The sequence below is a fragment of the Homo sapiens genome, chromosome 19 (assembly GCF_000001405.40).
Source record: "Homo sapiens chromosome 19, GRCh38.p14 Primary Assembly".
Taxonomy (NCBI): domain Eukaryota; kingdom Metazoa; phylum Chordata; class Mammalia; order Primates; family Hominidae; genus Homo; species Homo sapiens.
Genome location: NC_000019.10, coordinates 12,064,321 through 12,083,750, shown reverse-complemented (window position 1 = coordinate 12,083,750; position 19,430 = coordinate 12,064,321). Strand labels below are relative to the sequence as shown.

Below are 19,430 nucleotides of genomic sequence, written 5' to 3'. Positions count from 1 at the left end.
CTGGATGATAGGCTGGGCACGATGGCTCATGCCTGTAATCCCAGCACTTTGGGAGGCTGAAGTGGGCGGATTACTTGAGGTTGGGAATTTGAGACCAGCCTGACCAACATGGTGAAACCTCATCTCTACTAAAAATACAAAATTAGCCAGGTGTGGTGGTACAGACATGTTATCCCAGCTACTCAGGAGGCTGATGCAAGAGAATCGCTTGAACGTGGGAGGTGGAGGTTGTGGTGAGCCAACATCGTGGCATTGCACTCCAGCCTGGGCAACAAAAGCGAAACTCCATCTCAAAAAAACAAAACAAAACAAAAACTGGATGATGAAATGTTGGGTCAGGTGTGAATTATAAGTTTTTTTGAGGAAAATTTAAAGTTCACTTATCTTAAAAAGGATTTTTCCTGTTTTGTTATTTGACCTTCCTTCATGAAAAAATACAAAAATAAAATATGCATATTTAAAATATGCATATTTTTTGGCCAGGCGTGGTGGCTCACGCCTGTAATCCCACCACTTCGGGAGGCTGAGGTGAGTGGATTACCTGAGGTCAGGAGTCTAAGACCAGCCTGACCAACATAGTGAAACCCTGTCTTTACTAAAAATATAAAAGTTAGCTGGGTGTAGTGGCGAGTGCCTGTAATCCCAGCTGCTCAGTAGTTCAAAAAAAAAAAAAAAAAAGATAAGGCAAAAATGGGTCTAGAAGTCCAGGAGCTACCTCCTCTCACCACAAGGCCAAGTCTTTTCTTTGTTTGCTTTTTGAGACGGTGTTTTGCTCTTGTTACCCAGTCTGGAGTGCAATGGCGTGACCTCAGTTCACTGCAACCTCCACCTCTTGGGTTCAAGTGATTCTTCTGCCTCAGCCTCCCAAGTAGCTGGGATTACAGGCATGTGCCACTATACCCGACTAATTTTTGCGTTTTCAGTAGAGACGGGGTTTTTCCATGTTGGTCAGACTGGTCTCGAACTCCCAACCTCAGGTGATCCACCCGCCTCAGCCTTCCAAAGTGCTGGGATTATAGGCATGAGCCACCACGCCCGGCCACAAGGCCAAGTCTTATGCCATTGGAAAGACACATGTCATACACCTGCAATGTGAGACAATGCTCTTCAGTGACCATGACGGATCAAGACAAAACAAGGACACTCTGTAACCATGTCTCAAAATAGTATAGAAGAAAACATATTTCAAATTATCAAACTGAGCAAATTTTTTTCAGTAATGTGACTCATTTGTAATTCTCATATATCTCACTGTCATTTATGGCTTTTGATCATATTTATTACTATATTACACCCTCTTTGACAACAAGTATGGTACTGGTGGTCTTTGGCAAGACGTCACTGAGAACATTGAGTTAACTTTTGGTACAATGAATGAATGAAAAGTTAGGACTAAGAGGCTGGGCGTGGTGGCTTACCCATGTAATCCCAGCACTTTGGGAGGCTAAGGCAGGTGGGTCACAAGGTCAAGAATTCTAAACCAGCCTGACCAACATGGTGAAACCCCATCTCTACTAAAAATACAAAAATTAGCCGGGTGTGGTGACCGGCGCCTGTCACCCCAGCTACTTGGGAGGCTGAGGCAGGAGAATCGCTTGAACCCAGGAGGCAGAGGTTGCAGTGAGTGGAGATCGCACCACTGCACTCAAGCCTGCGCGACAGAGCGAGACTGCGTCTCAAAAAAAAAAAAAAAGAAAAAGAAAAAGAAAAAAAGAAAAGTTAGGACTAAGATAAAAAATTTAAGGATAGCCAGGCGCGGTAGCTCACGCCTGTAATCCCAGCACTTTGGGAGGGCGAGGTGGGTGGATCACAAGGTCAGGAGATTGAGACCTTCCTGGCTAACACGGTGAAACCCTGTCTCTACTAAAAAAAATATACAAAAAAATTAGCCGGGCGTGGTGGCAGGCAACTGTAGTCCCAGCTACTTGGGAGGCTGAGGCAGGAGAATGGCGTGAACCCGGGAGGCAGAGCTTGCAGTGAGCCGAGATCATGCCACTGCACTCCAGCCTGGGCGACAGAGTGAGACTCCGTCTCAAAAAAAACAAACAAACAAACAACAAAAAAATTTAAGGATATAAGTGAGTATAAAAAGTAAAATTTTTTTACATGAGAAAAAGCATGCCTGGCATTCTATTCACATGGTAATATTGACTCACAATGTCCAACCAATAACTTGGCAACATTATGAACTTGATCTAATACATATTTTAATATAGCTACTGAATTAATTAAGAAAGAATAATGTTTGTCAGTATACAGTTGTGGAAAAGTTCAACTATTTCTATGACACATGTACAGAAATCTTGGTTGCCAAAAAAATTATTGTTTTTAATCAAATATAATCAAACATAATTGAAAATAAATGGAGACATTACATTCAGAAATGAAACACAGGAAACTCAAAACTTCCTGGGAGGAGGAAGGTGCTTATTCTCACCTTCCTGAAAGCCCTGGGTGAGACCAGTCACTGCAGCAGAGGAAGAAGCTCCTATCTAGTTGGACTGGACAAAAGCATAGTAGCTGTGAGGCTACAAGATAAGGGTCAGTAACAGCAGGAACAAAGGTGCTTGCCAAACAAATCGCATCTCATACTGACTCAATATACAAAGTAGGGGAATTGAACATCAGAGAACAATCTCACCCATGACAGTCTGCATTAGCTCTCTGGTAAAGACATTATACCTAAAGAAACACCAGGCCAGGCACAGTGGATCACGCCTATAATCCCAGCATTTTGAAAGGCCAAGACAGACGGATCACTTGAGGTCAGGAGTTTAAGACCAGCTTGCTCAACATGGTGAAACCCCATCTCTACTAAAAATACAAAAATTTAGCCATGCGTGGTGGTGTGCACCTGTAATCCTGACTACTCAGGTGGCTGAGACACCAGAATCACTTGAAACCAGGAGGCCCAGATTGCAATGAGCCAGGATAATGCCACTCTACTCCAGCCTGGGTGACAGAGAGAGACCTTGTCTCAAAAAAAAAGAAAAAGAAAAACTGTATTACAGATGGGGCTTTTTCATTGTTCTATTCTTTCAGTCTTTTAAAAAAATATCTTAGTCTTTATTTCTCTTCAATTTGCCCTTAACCACTGATGGATCTTTAATGTGGAGCTTCTGAAGACACCTTTACCCAAAGGCCCACACCTCTGAGCAAATTTTGAGGACATTCTTGATTGGCAAGCCAAAGATTCAGGAAAAAATGGGCTGGGAGCAGGGAGTCAGCCTGTATGGATGTGGCACCTGTTTGGTGCCTCTAAAATGTGACTGATGACTTCCTCTTGTCTGCCTTTGAAATTGCATGTAAGATAGGACACTGGTGAATTGTATTATGACATCCTCCAACTCCATTTCTAAATTTTATTGTCCTGTCAGACTTCTCTTTTTTTTTTTTTTTTTTTTGAGACGGAGTCTTGCTCTGTCGCCGCTGGAGTGCAGTGGCGCGATCTCGGTTCACTGCAAGCTCTGCCTCCTGGATTCACGCCATTCTCCTGCTTCAGCCTCCCGAGTAGCTGGGACTACAGGCGCCCACCACCACGCCCAGCTAGTTTTTTTGTATTTTTTAGTAGAGACGGGGTTTCACCGTGTCAGCCAGGATGGTCTTGATCTCCTGACCTCGTGATCCGCCCACCTCAGCCTCCCAAAGTGCTGGGATTACAGGCGTGAGCCACTGTGTCCGGCCAGGCCTCTCTTCTTAATTCAACAGTCAGTTATCTCAGAGGGTTTCTCTCTAGTGTCTCTTCCTGTTTGAAAGGAAGTGGGACAACTGAATGCTTCCTCAATTTTTTTTTTTTTTTTTTTTGAGATGGAGTTTCACTCTTGTTGCCCAGGCTGAAGTGCAATGCTGTGATCTTGGCTCACTGCAACCTCCGCCTCCCAGGTTCAAGCAATTCTCCTGCCTCAGTCTCCCATGTAGCTGGGATTACAGGCATGTGCCACCATGCCCATCTAATTTTTTGTATTTTTAGTAGCGATGGGGTTTTGCCATGTTAGCCAGGCTGGTCTCGAACTCCTGACCTCAGGTGATCTGCCTGCCTTGGTCTCCCAAAGTGCTGGGATTACAGGCGTGAACCACCGTGCCGGCCCCTTGCTTTTTTTTTCAGATGGAGTCTCACTCTGCTGGGGTACAGTGGCGTAATCTCGGGTCACTGCAACATCCAGCTCCTGGGTTCAAGTGATTCTCCTGCCTCAGCCTCCTGAGTAGCTGGGACTACAGGCACGCGCCACCATGCCTGGCTAATTTTTGTATTTTTGGTAGAGACAGGGTTTCACTATGTTGCCCAGGCTGGTATTGAACTCCTGACCTCAAGTGATCCACCTGCCTTAGCCTCTGGAAGTGCTGGAATTACAGGTAAGCTACCGTGCACAGCAATCAATTTCTTATAATAGGATTTCTCTCATATATTAATAGTATGAATTGCTTCATTTCAGGAATGAAGGCTTTTCACATTCCCTTCATTTACAGGGTTTCTCTTCAGCGAGTTCTTTCATGGCTACAAAAGGATCTGATACAATGGAATGCTTTTCCATATTGCTTGCATTCAGAGGGTCTCTCTTTATTGTGCATCCTTTTATGTCTTTGAAAATGAATGGGGAGAAGGCCGGGTGCAGTGGCTCATGCCTGTATGCACAGCACTTTGGGAGGCTGAGGCAGGTGGATCACCTGAGGTCAGGAGTTCGAGACGAACCTGGCCAACATAGTGAAGCCCCGTCTCTACTAAAAATACAAAAATTAGCTGGGCGTGGTGGCGGTCACCTGTAATCCCAGCTACTTGGGAGGCTGGGGCAGGAGAATCACTTGAACCCAGGAGGTGGAGGTGGCAGTGAACAGAGATGGAACCACTGTTCTCAGCCTCAGCGACAGAGCAAGACTCCGTCTCAAAAAAAAAGAAATGAACGGGGAGAGAGGCCTATCTGTCATGTGCAATACCATGTGGGTTTCAATGCCACTCAGATCAGAAAATGCTTTCCCACGCAGCTTACATTCATAGGGTTTTCCTCTAGTGTAAGTCCTTTTGTGAATTATACCCTCTTTGAAGACAGGTATGCCACTGTGGGATATGGCACAAAGTCACTCTGAAGAACATGAGATAACTTTTGGTATTATGAATGAACAAAAAATTAGGACCAAGATAAATGTTCTAAGTATATAAGCATGAAAATTAAAATTTACATGAGGAAAAAGATGCCTGGGATTTTGTCCACTTGGTAATATTGACTCACAATGTCCAAAAAATAATGTGGTAACATAAACTTGATCTAATGCATGATGGCACTGAGATATTTTATTATGGCTTCTCAATTAATTAAATAGAGAATAACAGCTGGGTGCAGTGGCTCATGCCTGTCATCCCAGCACTTTGGGAGGCTAAGGCAGGTGGATCACTTCAGGTCAGGAGTTCAAGACCAGTGTGGCCAATAGGGTGAGACCTCATCTCTACTAAAAATATAAAAATTAGCCAAGTGTGGTGGTGCACACCTGTAATCCTAGGAATCTTTTTCCTCAGGAGCCTGAGGCAGGAGAATTGCTTGAACCCGGAGGCGAGATCATGCCACTGCACTCCAGCCTGGGCAACAGAACAAGACTCATCTCAAACAACAACAAAAAATAGAGAATAACGGCCGGGCACGGTGGCTCATACCTGTAATCCCAGCACTTTGGGAGACTGAGGCGGGCAGATCACGAGGTCAGGAGATTGAGACCATCCTGGCTAACACGATGAAACTCCGTCTCTACTAAAAAATACAAAAAATCAGCCGGGTGTGGTGGCAGGCACCTGTAGTCCCAGCTACTCAGGAGACTGAGGCAGGAGAATGGCGTGAACCCAGGAGGTGGAGCTTGCAGTGAGCTGAGATCACGCCACTGCACTCCAGCCTGGGTGACAGAGCGAGACTCTGTCTCAAAAAGAAAAAAAAAATACAGAATAACATGTTAGTATGCAGCTGCTATAAACATTTAATTGTTTACATTCATTGTCTGTATTTGAAGGTTCTTAGCAAATCTGAAGGCTTTCCCATATTGCTTATATTCATAGGGTTGCTCTACAGTGTGAGTCCTTTCATGCACCAGAAGTTGTGAGACAGATCTGTAGGCTTTCCCACATTGCTTACATTCATAGGGTTTCTCGCCAGTGTGAATCTTTCTATGCATCTGAAGTTGAGTGGCAGATCTGAAGGCTTTACCACACTGCTTACATTCATAGGGTTTCTCTCCAGTGTGAGTCCTTTCATGATATCGAAGGCTACCGGAAGAAATGAAGGCTTTCCCACACTGCTTACATTCATAGTGTTTCTCTCTGGTGTGGGTCTTTTCATGATACTGAAATGCAGTAGAAGACATGAAGGCTTTACCACACTGCTTACACTCATACTGTTTCTCTCCAGTGTGAGTCCTTTCATGGTACTGAATGGAACTGAAAGAAATAAAGGCTTTTCCACATTGCTTACACTCATAGGGTTTCTCTCCAGTGTGAGTCCTTTCATGTCTACGAATGGCAGTGGAAGAAATGAAGGCTTTACCACACTGCTTACACTCATAGGGTTTCTCTCCAGTGTGAATCCTTTTATGACACTGAAAGGAACCAGAAGAAGTGAAGGCTTTGCCACATTCCTTGCATTCATACGGTTTCACTCCAGTGTGAGCCCTTTTATGTCTACGAAAGGAACCAGGCAAACTGAATGCTTTCCCACAATCCTTACATTAATATGGTTTCTCTCCAGTGTGCATCCTTTTGTGTATACGCAAAGAAGAAAAATAATTGAACGCTTTTCCGCATTCCTTACATTCATAGGGTTTCTCTCCAGGGTGTGTTCTTGCATGTACTCGAAGGATCTTGGCAGATATGAATGCTTTGTCACACTCTTTACATTCATAGGCATTCTGTCCTCTGTGCATTGTTGCATGTATTTGAAAGGAAGAGAAATTGTTGAATGCTTTTCCATATTCCTTATAGGGTTTCTCTCCAGGGTGTGTCTTTTCATGAATTTGAAGGTTTCTGACAGATCCAAAGGTTTTTTCACATTGTTTAGATTCATACAGTTGCTTTCCAGTGTGAGTCCTTTCATGCATTTGAAGGTGTGAGGCAGATGTGAAGGCTTTCCCACATTGCTTACACTCATAGGGTTTCTCTCCAGTGTGAGTCCTTTCATGATATCGAAAGGAAGTGGAAAAAATGAAGGCTTTACCACACTGCTTACATTCATAGGGTTTCTCTTGAGTGTGAGTCCTTCCATGCATTTGAAGGTGTGAGGCAGATCTGAAGGCTTTCCCACATTGCTTACACTCATACGGTTTCTCTCCAGTGTGAGTCCTTTCATGATATCGAAAGGAAGTGGAAGAAATGAAGGCTTTACTACACTGCTTACATTCATAGGGTTTCTCTCCAGTGTGAGTCCTTTCATGATAGTGAAAGGAACTGGAACGATTGAAGGCTTTACCACAGTGCTTGCATTCATAAGGTTTCTCTCCAGTGTGAGTTCTTTCATGTCTTCAAAACGAACTGGGAGAATCAAAGGCTTTTCCACAGTCTTACATTTATAAGGTCTCATTCTAGTGTGCATTTTCATGTGTCTTTGAAAGTTAAGATAAGATAATGCTTTCCCACATTGTTTACATTCACAGGGCTTTTTCCCAGAGTGGGTCACTTCATGTCTACAAAGATAACTGGGACACTTGAATGCTTTCCCACATTTGGTACATTCATAAGCCTTCTCCTCACTGTGAGTTCTTTCATGTATTTGAAAGGAATGGAACCATCTGAAGGCTTTTCCACATTGTTTGCATTCATATGGCTTCTCTCCAGTGTGAGTTCTTCTATGTTCATAAAGGGAATTGGGACTACCGAATGCTTTCCCACATTCCTTACATTCATAAGGCTTCTCTCCAGTGTGAGTTCTTTCATGTATTTGAAGGGAAGTTGAATAACTAAAGGCTTTACCACATTGTTTACATTTATATGGTTTCTCTCCAGTGTGAACTCGTTCATGTATAAGATATATGCTGAGACAAGGGCAGGCTTTCCCACAAAACTTACATTTATAAGTTCCATCTCCATTGTGCATTATCATGTGTCTTTGAATGCTTGAATGGGATATGAAGGTTTTTCCACATTCTTTACAATCATAGAGTTTTTCTCCAGTGTGAGCCTTTTCTTGCATTTGAAAGGAGGGGTGACATCTGAAGGCTTTCTTACGTTGTTGACACTTATATGGCTCCTGTCCATATTCCTGATACTCAGACGGCTTGTGTGCAGTGTCAGCTCTAATGTGCCTATTAAGGGAAGAATGACCCACGAAGACTTCTCCACACACACTGCTTTCACATGATTTTACTCCAGGAGAAGTTTTTTTGTTCAGTGTGTCATCTGGAATCTGGCTAGAAGTTTCTCCACAATGATTTTCTTCTGTATTTTCATCAACTCTCTCTCCCAGAAGACTTCTGTGAAAAATGAGAAACACATTATTGAAGGTTTGTTTATAAGTGATTTGATGTTTATTAACAAGGATTACACTTGCATTTTATTTTATTTTATTTTATTTTATTATTAATATACTTTAAGTTTTAGGGTACATGTGCACAACGTGCAGGTTTGTTACATATGTATACATGTCCCATTTGGTGTGCTGCACCCATTAACTCGTCATTTAGCATTAGGTATATCTCCTAATGCTATCCCTCCCCACTGAACTTGCACTTTCAACATTATCCAGGAAAGTGTAGGCTTTCTACCCTGTCTAAATTGTTGGAAGGTGACTGGACCATATGGCTATAAGATGGCCTATCTATACGTATTATTTTTAAAAATCATATGTTTAAAAAAGAAAAACACCATATGAGAATTCTTCATAATATTTCCATGTAGACTATTTTACAAATACTAAACTTCTATATCATTTTCTTGAGTCAGGGTCACCATATAGCCCAGGCTGGAGTGCAGTGGCATCATCATGGTTCACAGCACCCTTGAACTCCTGGACTCAAGTGATCTTCCTGCCTCAGCCTTCGATGTAGCTAGGACTACAGGTATATGCCACAATGTATAGCTAGTTCTTTGTTTGAGATGAAGTCTCGCCATTTTGCTCAGGCTCTTCTCAAACTCCAGGCCTCTAGCAATCCTCCCACCTCCAACTCCCAAACAGTTGAAATTACAGGTGTGAGCCACTGTGCCCAGCCTAGATCACATTTAAATGTAGGTTTTTAGAGTGAATATTTTAAGAGTAAATAAATTTAATGCTAGGCATATTTCCTTTATTTGCTTCTTCTTAACATATTCTCGCATTCTGAGATTTTCTAGAGAGACATTGCTTTGTCTCGTGAGTTTAAATCACCTTAGATTATTCCTGGGATTTTTGTACTGATCTTCAATGTTCTGGTCTTTCCATTTTTCTCCTAAAATACAGAATCAGAAAAAGAATCCTGAATTAAAATAAAATTATGAAAAAATGATTAGATTCTATGTTCACGGGACATTAGAGCCATACCTCATTTATTCATCAAAGTATTGCCTGTCCATATTCCAAATCAAGGAATAGCATTAATGAGCTAGAAACACTTGTCTCATTCACTGGGGGACGTAATACTGTCATTCTTACCTATGGAGGCCAGATTCCTCAAGGTTTCCTGCATCACTTCTCTGTAGAGATTCTTCTGGGAAGGATCCAGCAAAGACCACTCCTCCTGGGTGAAGTTCACAGCCACATCCTCGAAAGCCACCAAGTCCTGAAACATCCCACATGTATAGAGGAGGATGGGTGAGACTGACAGCACTGGGGGTCTATACCCTCTTCCTAAGAAGTTCCCATGATGCTGTGGACTCCAAACATTTATTCTATTTCTTGGTCATCTGACCCATTACTCTCTGTCTACACTTACTTTCTTCTCTAAAGCAATTCTGATGCTGGAACAGAACTAAGCAATAAACGAACAGCAGAATAGAAAAATGTGTCTTTTCATGGAATCCAGGGAGAAAGGTGCGCTGCCTGGGCTGCTCTTAATGTCTGTTTGTAGCATGGGTCTATAGCACCTGTCATAACACAGTCCTCTAAATTCACCTGCAGAAAATGTTAACATTAGCAGTCCTGAGGCTATATATCCTTGAAAATGCCTGTTCACAAAGTTTAACCATTGAAGATTACCTGGAAGGGGGATTTTATTCTGATTGAAGCAGCAGACAACAAAAGCAAAAAAAAAAAACTGGATTTTGCAAGGGGTTCAACCAACCCAACTGATAAGAGAGGCAGAACTATCTAAATAAAAAACTCATGAATAGAAATTTTGTGAAAAACAGTACTGTGGGCCGGGCGCGGTGGCTCACACCTGTAATCCCAGGACTTTGGAAGGCTGAGGCGTGCGGATCGCTTGAGATCAGGAGTTCGAGACCAGCCTCAACATGGAGAAACCCTGTCTCTACTAAAAATACAAAATTAGCTGGGCGTGGTGGTGTATGCCTGTAATCCCAGGTACTCGGGAGGCTGAGGCAGGAGAATTGCTTTAACCTGGCAGGCGGAGGTTGCGGTGAGCTGAGATCGCACCATTGCACTCCAGCCTGGGCAACAAAAGCGAAACTCTGTCTCAAAAAAAAAAAGCAGACTGTGGTAGGAAAACTTAAATTGTAATTGATGAAATGCTGAAGGCTGAATGGAGACAAAGTTCAGGGATAAAAACTCCAGTGCACCCACTCTTAACAAAAAGGCAAATATTTATCAAAATTTAAAAGTTCTGTCTATGAGGGGACACCATAAACAGATGGAAAAGGCACCCCATGATGCTGGAGCAAATATTGGAAAGTCATATATCTGGAAAAGTCTCAATATTCAGAAAATATAATGAATTCTTACATTCAACTAAAAAGAAAAGAAAAATCAAGGCCAGGCGCGGTGGCTCATGCCTGTAATCCCAGCACTTTGGGAGGCCGAGGTGGGTGGATCACCTGAGGTCAGGAGCTCAAGACCAGCCTGGTCAACATGGTGAAACCCTGTCTCTACTAAAAATACAAAAAATTAGCCAGGCATGGTGGTGGGTGCCTGTAATCCTAGCTACTCAGGAGGCTGGGGCCAGAGAATTGCTTGAAGCTGGGAGGCGGAGGTTGCAGTGAGCGTAGATCGCGCCATTGCACTTCAGCCTGGGCAACAACACTGAGACTTTATCTCAAAAAAAAAGAAAAAGAAAAAAGAAAAATCAAACCACCTCAAATATAAAGTTTGGAAAAAACGTTGAGAAATTGGAACCCATGTGCTCTGACCAAAGGATTGCAAAATGGCTCAATCTTTATGGAAAACAGTATGGTGGTGCCTGAAAAACTAGCAAAAAAAAAAAAAATTTTCTTCCAGCAACCCATTTCTGGGTCTATTTATATTCAATTCATATAAATTGAAAGTTGGATCTTTGAAGAAATATTTGAAAACCACTGTTCACAATAGCCAAGAGATGGATCAATCCAAATGTCCACTGATGGCTAAATGGATAAAGAAAACGTGGTATGCATGTACTTACAATGGGATAGTATTTAGTCTTACAAAATAACTTTCTGTCCCATGCTACAAAAAGCATGAAAATTCAGGATTCAGCTGGATGCAGTGGCTCATGCCCGTAATCCCAGCACTTTGGGAGGCCGAGGCAGAGTGGATCACGAGGTCAGGAGTTCAAGACCAGCCTGGCCTAGATGGTGAAACCCCATCTCTACTAAAAATACAAAAATTAGCTGGGCATGGTGGTGGATGCCTGGAATCCCAGCTACTTGGGAGGCTGAGGCAGAGAACAGCTTGAACCCAGGAGGCAGAGGTTGCAGTGAGCCAAGATCATGCCACTGCACTCCAGGCTGTGTGAGAGAGTGAGACTCCATCTCAAACAAACAAAAAAAAAAAAAAGAAAAAAAATTCAGGATTCTATACTGATTGCAAAAGGCCAGTCACAAAAATACAGTATTATTCATCTTAGACGAGTTATATAGATTTGACAAACTAACTCAACAGTACATGTAAAATTCCTAAAGCTAATAAATGTTAATTTTTTTACAATAATAAATTATTGTACCAAGTAAAAAAAAAAAAAAAACCTAATTGATTGAAAGATAGGGAAAGTATCTGAATGACATTCCTGCAAGATATATGAAAAGGGCCAAGAAGCTCATGAAAACGTCAGTGGACCAGGAGTCATCAGGCACAAGGATTTATATAATGTAGTTTTTAGTGGTTATTGAGTGCTTTCCTCTCATGAACAGTATTCATAAAGTAATACATTTTTAACCCATTTCCCATTTAGAAAAAAAAGTGCAGCTTGCTGCCAGCATTCATTGAATTTTACACAAGCATACTCTTTAAAGCTGAAGCAAATCTGATTGACTTTCAATGTGAAAATAAAATTTCTAAACAGAACTTGTTTCTAATCCTAATATAACAAAAACGTATATGATGTTACATTAGGATTAGAGACAAGAGTATTCTCGGGGCACATGGAAAATGGGTTGAATATACCCACCACTTATTGCTTTGTGGAAAAAAATGGTAAGCAATTAAAATACTGCAGCAGTTTCACATGTATCATGGGGGACACATGATTGATAATGATGTCCAGTGGAAAGGGGAAATGAGGGAGTGTTCTGGAACGTGGGGAGGAAACCAGAAACTTAAGGATTTATCATCAGCCCTAGCAAGAACTAGGCTGGGAGGATCTCAAGGACTCCTTCCTTGATCATACTTCAGTGAGGCTCCTCGGAGCCCACTTCCTGACTAGCTTTTGTGTTTGTCCTGCAGAGCCCAGTTATAGCTAAATCCTAATAAGAGAGTTTAGAGAGAATGCCCCCCAACTTGATATCTAATCAAGTTGTTTCCCTCATCTATGATAATTTATTAATATTCTCTTCCCCAACTCTTGACACCTCACCAAGTTCCATCCTCTACGGTACCTTGCTCTTTAGATATAATTGTCTTGTTGATGCATTCAGGTTGAGTTCAATTTCTTTCCCATATTAAATTGTCCTATAACATATAGGCAAAAAATAAGGCTTTATTCAACACATATTGCAATTGTGCTGAATAAAACCTTCCTTGAAATTTTTACCAAGTTTTCAGTGTAATCTCTCTTTACAAGGAATAAAGACTTAGACTTGAGACCCTAATTCATATGTCTGCAATGCATTAGTGATAAGAAGTTCTCTTCTGGTGGGGAGGAAGATGGATTTCTTGGGAGTACCTCCTACTCAAACATCCAAAACACCAGGTCAGATTTCTCTCCTGATGACCACTTCTTGTTGTCACCCTATAAACAGGATGAGATTGGAGACTGTGGTTGCACCACTGCCAGAGAGGACTACAGGGTAGAGTTCACCTCCTGCAGTAATGGGCCAGGATGCCTCAGAGTGCTGGCTACCAATTCATCCCCCATCCTATGTGAAGAAGAAGATGGACCAGATATTCAATATAGAAGTTTTTCTTCCATTTGGTGAATTATCTTGTGAAATCCTTTCTTTTTTTGTTTTTAAGCATAAAACAGCCAGTATTCCTAGGCATTTTCTATACATTTACTAACCAGGCCCAACCCTGCTTAGCTACAGAGAATAGATGTGTTCAGCGTGGCATGACCACACATGCTTCAGTTTCTTTTTTTTTTTTTTTTACGCTTATTTTTATTTTTGTCTTTTTTTTTTTTTCCTTTTTGTGGAGAACGGGGTCTCATTATATTGCCCAGGCAGGTCTCGAACTCCTGGGCTCAAGCTATCCTCCCGCCTCTTGCCTCCCTGCGAGCTGGGATTACAGGCATGAGCCACCGCGCCCGGCCTCTTTTTTTTTTTTTTTTTTTGAGACGGAGTCTCACTGTTGTCCAGGCTACAGTGCAGTTGGCGCAAACTTGGCTCTCCGCAACCTCCGCCTCCTGGGTTCAAGCGATTCTCCTACCTCAGCCTCCTGAGTAGCTGGGACTACAGGCACGTGCCACCACGCCTGGCTAATTTTTGTATTTTTAGTAGAGACGGGGTTTCACCATGTTGGTCAGGCTAGTATCAAATTCCTGACCTCAGGTGATCCACCCACCTCGGCCTCCCAAAGTGCTAGGATTATAGGTGTGAGCCACCGCACCTGGCCTAAAATACAAATTATTAACGAATGAAATTGTATCCTGACCTCCCACTCTCACCTTCTTCCTAACCTTGTTTTCTCCTCTCTGTAAAAAAAAAAAAAATTCCTTTTTGGGCTAACTTTGAGATGCTTACAGATCTTATACTTTCTCCCTTTTCCTTATTTCAATTCTCCTTTAGAATAAAGTCATTCCTGGCTGGGCGCGATGGCTCACCCCTGTTAATTCCAGCACTTTGGGAGGCCAAGGTGGGTGGATCACCTGAGGTCAGGAGTTTGAGACCAGCCTGACCAACATGGTGAAACCCTATCTCTACTAACAATACAAAAAATTAGCCGGGCATGGTGCTGGGCGCCTGTAATCCCAGCTACTCAGGAGGCTGAGACAGGAGAATTGCTTGAACCCAGGAGGCAGAGGTTGCAGTGAGCCGAGATCACACCACTGCATTCCAGCCTGGGTGACAGAGCAAGACTTGGTCTCAAAAAAAAAAAAAAAAAAAAAGGAATAAAAGAATAAAAAGAAAAGTCATTCCTTACCTAAATCCACATCTGTTTCATTAAAAATGTTTAGAAACAACCTTAGGACAACTAGCCTCAGAAAGGCATCGCTGACCCGCTGCATCTGCCTGTGGATCCTCAGTTTTCCAGGGCTCTGAGATTCTCTCAGAATAAAGGGCTCCTCCCATGGTCAGTGTGAGCAGCTGGGTCAGTGTGAGCAGCTGGGACACTGCAGGAGAGGCTCCCCAGCAAGAAACAAGTGAGCCTTCAATGACCTCTTTGCAGGCTTCTGATTGACCTTAGCTTGCAGTCACTGGGCTCAGGTCTGATTCAATGAGAAAATACCCAGTGTTTGAAGAATCTAGCAAAATCCCTCAAACTCAGGTTCAGGTTTACACATGGAAAGGAAATTATAAGGCATTTGCATTTCGTACCACAAAATGGAAAGCAAAAGTATCTAATCATTTCAGACAATACACACATTTGTGGAAGTCAATAATTCCAACCTGAAGCCATTAGAACTTTAAATTATTTTATTTTTTATTTTTTTTGAGACGGAGTTTCACTCTTGTTGCCCAGGCTGGAGTGCAGTGGCACGATCTTGGCTCACTACAACCTCCGCCTTCTGGTTTCAAGCAATTCTCCTGCCTCAGCCTCCTGAGTAGCTGGGATTACAAGCGCCCACCACCATGCCCGGCTAATTTTTGTATATATTTTTTTAATAGAGACGGGGTTTCACCATGTTGGTCAGGCTGGTCTCGAACTCCTGACCTCATGATCTGCCCGCCTCAGCCTCCCAAGGTGCTGGGTTTACAGGCGTGAGCCACCGCACCCAGCCTTTAACCATATTTTTTGAATCTCTATTTTTATTTTTTGAGACAGTTTCTTGCTCTGTCGCCCAGGCTGAAGTCCAGTGGCATGATCATGCCTCACTGCAGCCTCCACCTCTCAGCTCAAGCCATCCTCCCACTTCAGCCTCCCAAGTGGCTGGGTACTACAGACACATACCATCATGCCTGGCTATTTTTTAAGCAGTTTGTTAAGATGAGGTTCTACCATGTTACCCAGACTGGTCTCAAACTCCTGAGCTCAAAGGATCCCACAACCCCTCGCCCACCCACCTTGGCCTCCTAAAGTGCTAGGATGTAGGTGTGAGGCACTATGCCTGGCTATTTTTAAATTAATTTTTAATTTTCTTTCCTTCCTTCCTTCCTTCCTTCCTTCTTTCCTTCTTTCCTTCTTTCTTTCTTTCTTTCTTTCTTTCTTTTTTTTGAGACAGAGTCTCGCTCTGTGGCCCAGGCTGGAGTGCAGTGGCGCGATCTCGGCTCACTGCAAGCTCCACCTCCTGGGTTCACGTCTCCTGCCTCAGCCTCTCTGATAGCTGGGACTACAGGTGCCCACTACCACGCCCGGCTAATTTTTTGTATTTTTAGTAGAGACGGAGTTCCACTGTGTGTGCCAGGCTGGTCTCAATCTCCTGACCTCGTGATCCACCCACCTCGGCCTCCCAAAGTGCTGGGATTACAGGCGTGAGCCACCGCGCCCGGCCTTTTTTTTTTTTTTTTTTTTTTTTTTTGAGACAGAGTTTCACTCTTGTTGCCCAAGCTATAGTGCAATGGCGTGGTCTCAGCTCACTGCAACCTCCGCCTCCCAGGTGCAAGCAATTCCCCTGCCTCAGCCTCCCCAGTAGCTGGGATTATAGATGCACCACCATCACACCTGGCTAATTTTTATATTTTTAGTAGAGACGGGGTTTCACCATGTTAGCCAGCCTGGTCTCGAACTTCTCAGGTGATTGCCCGACCCGGCCTCCCAAAGCGCTGGGATTACAGGCGTAAGCCACTGCACCCGGCCTAATTTTCTTATTTTTGAGACAGGGTCTCACTCTGTCACCCAGACTGGAGTGCAGTGGTGTGATCACGGTTCGGTGCAGCCTTGACTGACTGGCCTCCAGGGAAATCTCATTATTATTATTATTTTACTTGAGAGGGAGTCTCACTCTGTAGCCCAAGCTGGAGTGCAGTGGCGCGATCTCAGCTCACTGCAAACTCCACCTCCCGGGTTCAAGTGATTCTCCTGCCTCAGCCTCCGGAGTAGCTGGGACTACAGGAGCGTACCACCACACCCAGCTAATTTTTTATGGAAATCTCATTATTTTTAAGTTGACAATATTATTTTATTACTATTTCCATGATAATGAAACCACTTTTGCAAAAACTGTAACACTGAAAAAATTATGGCAGTCAAAGAGATCTAGCCAACTGCTTCTCTTGTCTTTACCTTTCAAGCTGCCTTAATTACTCCTAGGCTTAGGCTGAGCTAACTTTAGAAGACATTTGGCCGGGCGAGGTGGCTCACGCCTGTAATCCCAGCACTTTGGGAGGCCGAGGTGGGCGGATCATGAGGTCAGGAAATCCAGACCATCCTGGCTAACACGTTGAAACCCCGTCTCTACTAAAAACACAAAAAATTAGCCGGGCTTGGTGGCAGGCGCCTGTAGTCCCAGCTACTCCGGAGGCTGAGGCAGGAGAATGGCGTGAACCCGGGAGGCAGAGCTTGCAGTGAGCCGAGATCGCGTCACTGCACTCCAGTCTGGGCGACAGAGGGAGCCTCCGTCAACAACAACAACAAAAAAAAAAAAAAAAAAAAAAAAGAAGACATTTATGTTATAGTTTAAATGATAATAGCTCTTCCTTAAACACTGCCTTCCTAAAGCTAATGAAAAACCATGAGTCGGGGCGGGGGGAACAGAGTGGGGAGCGATGAGGAGCCTGAATTTTGCTATGGTATAGACTGGTCCCAAGATACTTCTGCAGATAAGTGTTTTCAGGTTTTTTGCTTGTCTGACACCCATGGCTCCACTCAGGCCCACCAACCCTGCTCCTCTATAAGCAACTCAGCACTCAGGAGGACCATTTCCCACCACCTCTTCCCCGATTCTGCCTTTGAAAAACCCCTGGCCGAGTTCGGTGGCTCACACCTGTAAACCCAGCACTTTGGGGGGCCGAGGTGAGCAGATCGCTTGAGCCCAGGAGTTCAAGACCAGCCTGGGCAACATGGCGAAACCCCATCTCTACCAAAAATACAAAAATTAGCCGCCTGCGCCTGTAGTCCCAGCTACTCGGGAGGGTGAGGCAGCACAATCACCTGAGCTGCTGCTCAGGTGGGTCCAGGATGCAGTGAGCCGTGATCGCGCCATGCACTCCAACCTGGGCGACAGAGTGAGACCTTGTTTAAAAAACAATTTTTAGCCGGGCCAGGTGGCTCACGCCTGTAATCCTAGCCCTTTAGGAGGCCGATGCGGGCGGATCACCTGAGGTCAGGAGTTCAAGACCACCTTGGCCAACACGGTGAAACCCCGTCTTTACTGAAAATACAGAAATCAGCAGGGCGTGGTGGCGTGCCTGTAACCCCAGCTACTAGGGAAGCTGAGCAGAAGAATCGCTTGAATCCGGGAGGCAGAGGTTGCACTGAGCCCAGATCGTGTCATTGCACTCCAGCCTGGGCAAAAAAGAGCGAGACTCTGTCTTAAAAAAAAAAAAAAAAATTGTAAGAAAAAAATATTAAAGAAAAATCCCTAACTATAAGCCTTCGGGGAGACTGATTTGAGTGCTAACTCTGTCTCCGTCTTCGGCGTTGCGTGGTCCATCTCGTGTCAAACATTTTCTTTACTGCAATGCCCTGGTCTTTCTTTTTGCAGCACAGGCAGGAAGAACCCCTCAGGCGATTACAACAACAAAGCATCTAGTACACATTGATCATGATGTGAACAAAAACACGACAGCAGTTGCCAAGCTCTAAGCCACAGACAGCAGGGAAAACATTTATCCGCTGTCACAAGTTCTCCACGCTAGGCCAGGCGCGGTGGCTCACGCCTCTATTCCCAGCACCGGGCCTGTTTAAGTTTTAACAGGAGAAAGGGGGCACTGAGGGCCTCACAGCGCAGCTCCTCCCGCACGAGCCCCACACCCAAGGCGGGATTGCCCCCATGACCCTCCCGTGGCCCCGCACAATATGGAGAGGCTCCGGGCTGCGGGCGCGGAGCTGTCCAGAGAGGGCTCCCGGGCTGGGGCCGCAGTCGCCGCGCGGCGACGAGACAGGGCGCCCAGGGGTCCCGGCTGCCGGCCCAGCCGCACCCGGCGGCCGAATGGACCGAAGGCCGAGCTGCGCCAGCGGGGCTCGGGCCCCAGACCTCGAGTCGCCGCGGGGAGGTCCGGGTCCCGGCACAGCCGGTTCCAGCCAGTTCCAACCAGCCTCCGCCTACCCTCCCCCAAGTCTCGGGACTCCCAGCGGGGGCTCACACTCACCATTTCCTGGCTTTCAGGTGACTCCCACGTCCAAAGCAGTCACAACACAGACGACAGGGCGACAGAAGTATGGCGGTGGCAACCGGTCCCTCTCAGAGCAGGAAAAACGGGGTGCCAACCTCACCCGGCGGGAGGGGCCAAAGACTGAGGCGAACGGCAATGTGACCCGCGGATAAACAGTTGGCCGGGCCCCACCCCGGCGACTCTGATTGGGTGGAGCGCCAGGCCCCGCCCCCTGCATCCTGAGTGACAGCAGAAGTCCTGGGTAACAGGGCCAAGCAGAGCAGGACTGACCGCTTCAAGCCACAGTCCAAGGTCAAGTTCCCTCTCTACGCCCTGCTCTTTGAAAATTTGCATTTCGGCCAAACTTGCTCGTCTTAATTACTAGAAGTGGCTCTGTCAATGGTCTGTCCCTGCTTCTTCGTCCTGCACAGTGTCATAAGTGTGTGCAGGGAGTTCCAGACTCTATGTTTAATAGAGGTGAAAGCAATTAAAATATTTTATTCCAAAATATATTTATTTGGCAATTTCGAATGGCTGCAGCTTTGCCCTTGCA

The 19,430-nt window shown here is 44.6% G+C and overlaps 1 protein-coding gene and 1 pseudogene across 2 annotated transcripts, besides 2 other annotated features; both read right to left on the bottom strand.

Moving 5' to 3' along the window:
- Nucleotides 1-2,185: 2,185 nt before the first annotated feature.
- ZNF844 (zinc finger protein 844) lies at nt 2,186-19,020 on the bottom strand. 2 transcript variants are annotated; one of them, NM_001136501.3, is made up of 4 exons: nt 18,875-19,020; nt 9,594-9,720; nt 9,330-9,390; nt 2,186-8,439 (listed from the first exon to the last, which is right to left on the bottom strand). In NM_001136501.3, the coding sequence occupies exons 1-4, from the start codon at nt 18,875-18,877 to the stop codon at nt 6,630-6,632; spliced, it is 2,001 nt and encodes a 666-aa protein (NP_001129973.1). In that variant the 5' UTR covers nt 18,878-19,020; the 3' UTR covers nt 2,186-6,629. The 2 variants fall into 2 exon arrangements, 1 of the variants encoding a protein (NP_001129973.1); NR_134326.2 differs by lacking the exon at nt 9,330-9,390.
- RNA5SP466 (RNA, 5S ribosomal pseudogene 466) lies at nt 13,480-13,587 on the bottom strand (annotated as a pseudogene).
- Nucleotides 18,576-18,755: a silencer, noted in NCBI's record as "silent region_10141". NCBI's record gives its function as "represses an Ori minimal core promoter by ATAC-STARR-seq in GM12878 lymphoblastoid cells {active_cell/tissue: GM12878}" and the evidence as "EXISTENCE:reporter gene assay evidence [ECO:0000049][PMID:35858748]".
- Nucleotides 18,846-18,935: an enhancer, noted in NCBI's record as "active region_14043". NCBI's record gives its function as "activates an Ori minimal core promoter by ATAC-STARR-seq in GM12878 lymphoblastoid cells {active_cell/tissue: GM12878}" and the evidence as "EXISTENCE:reporter gene assay evidence [ECO:0000049][PMID:35858748]".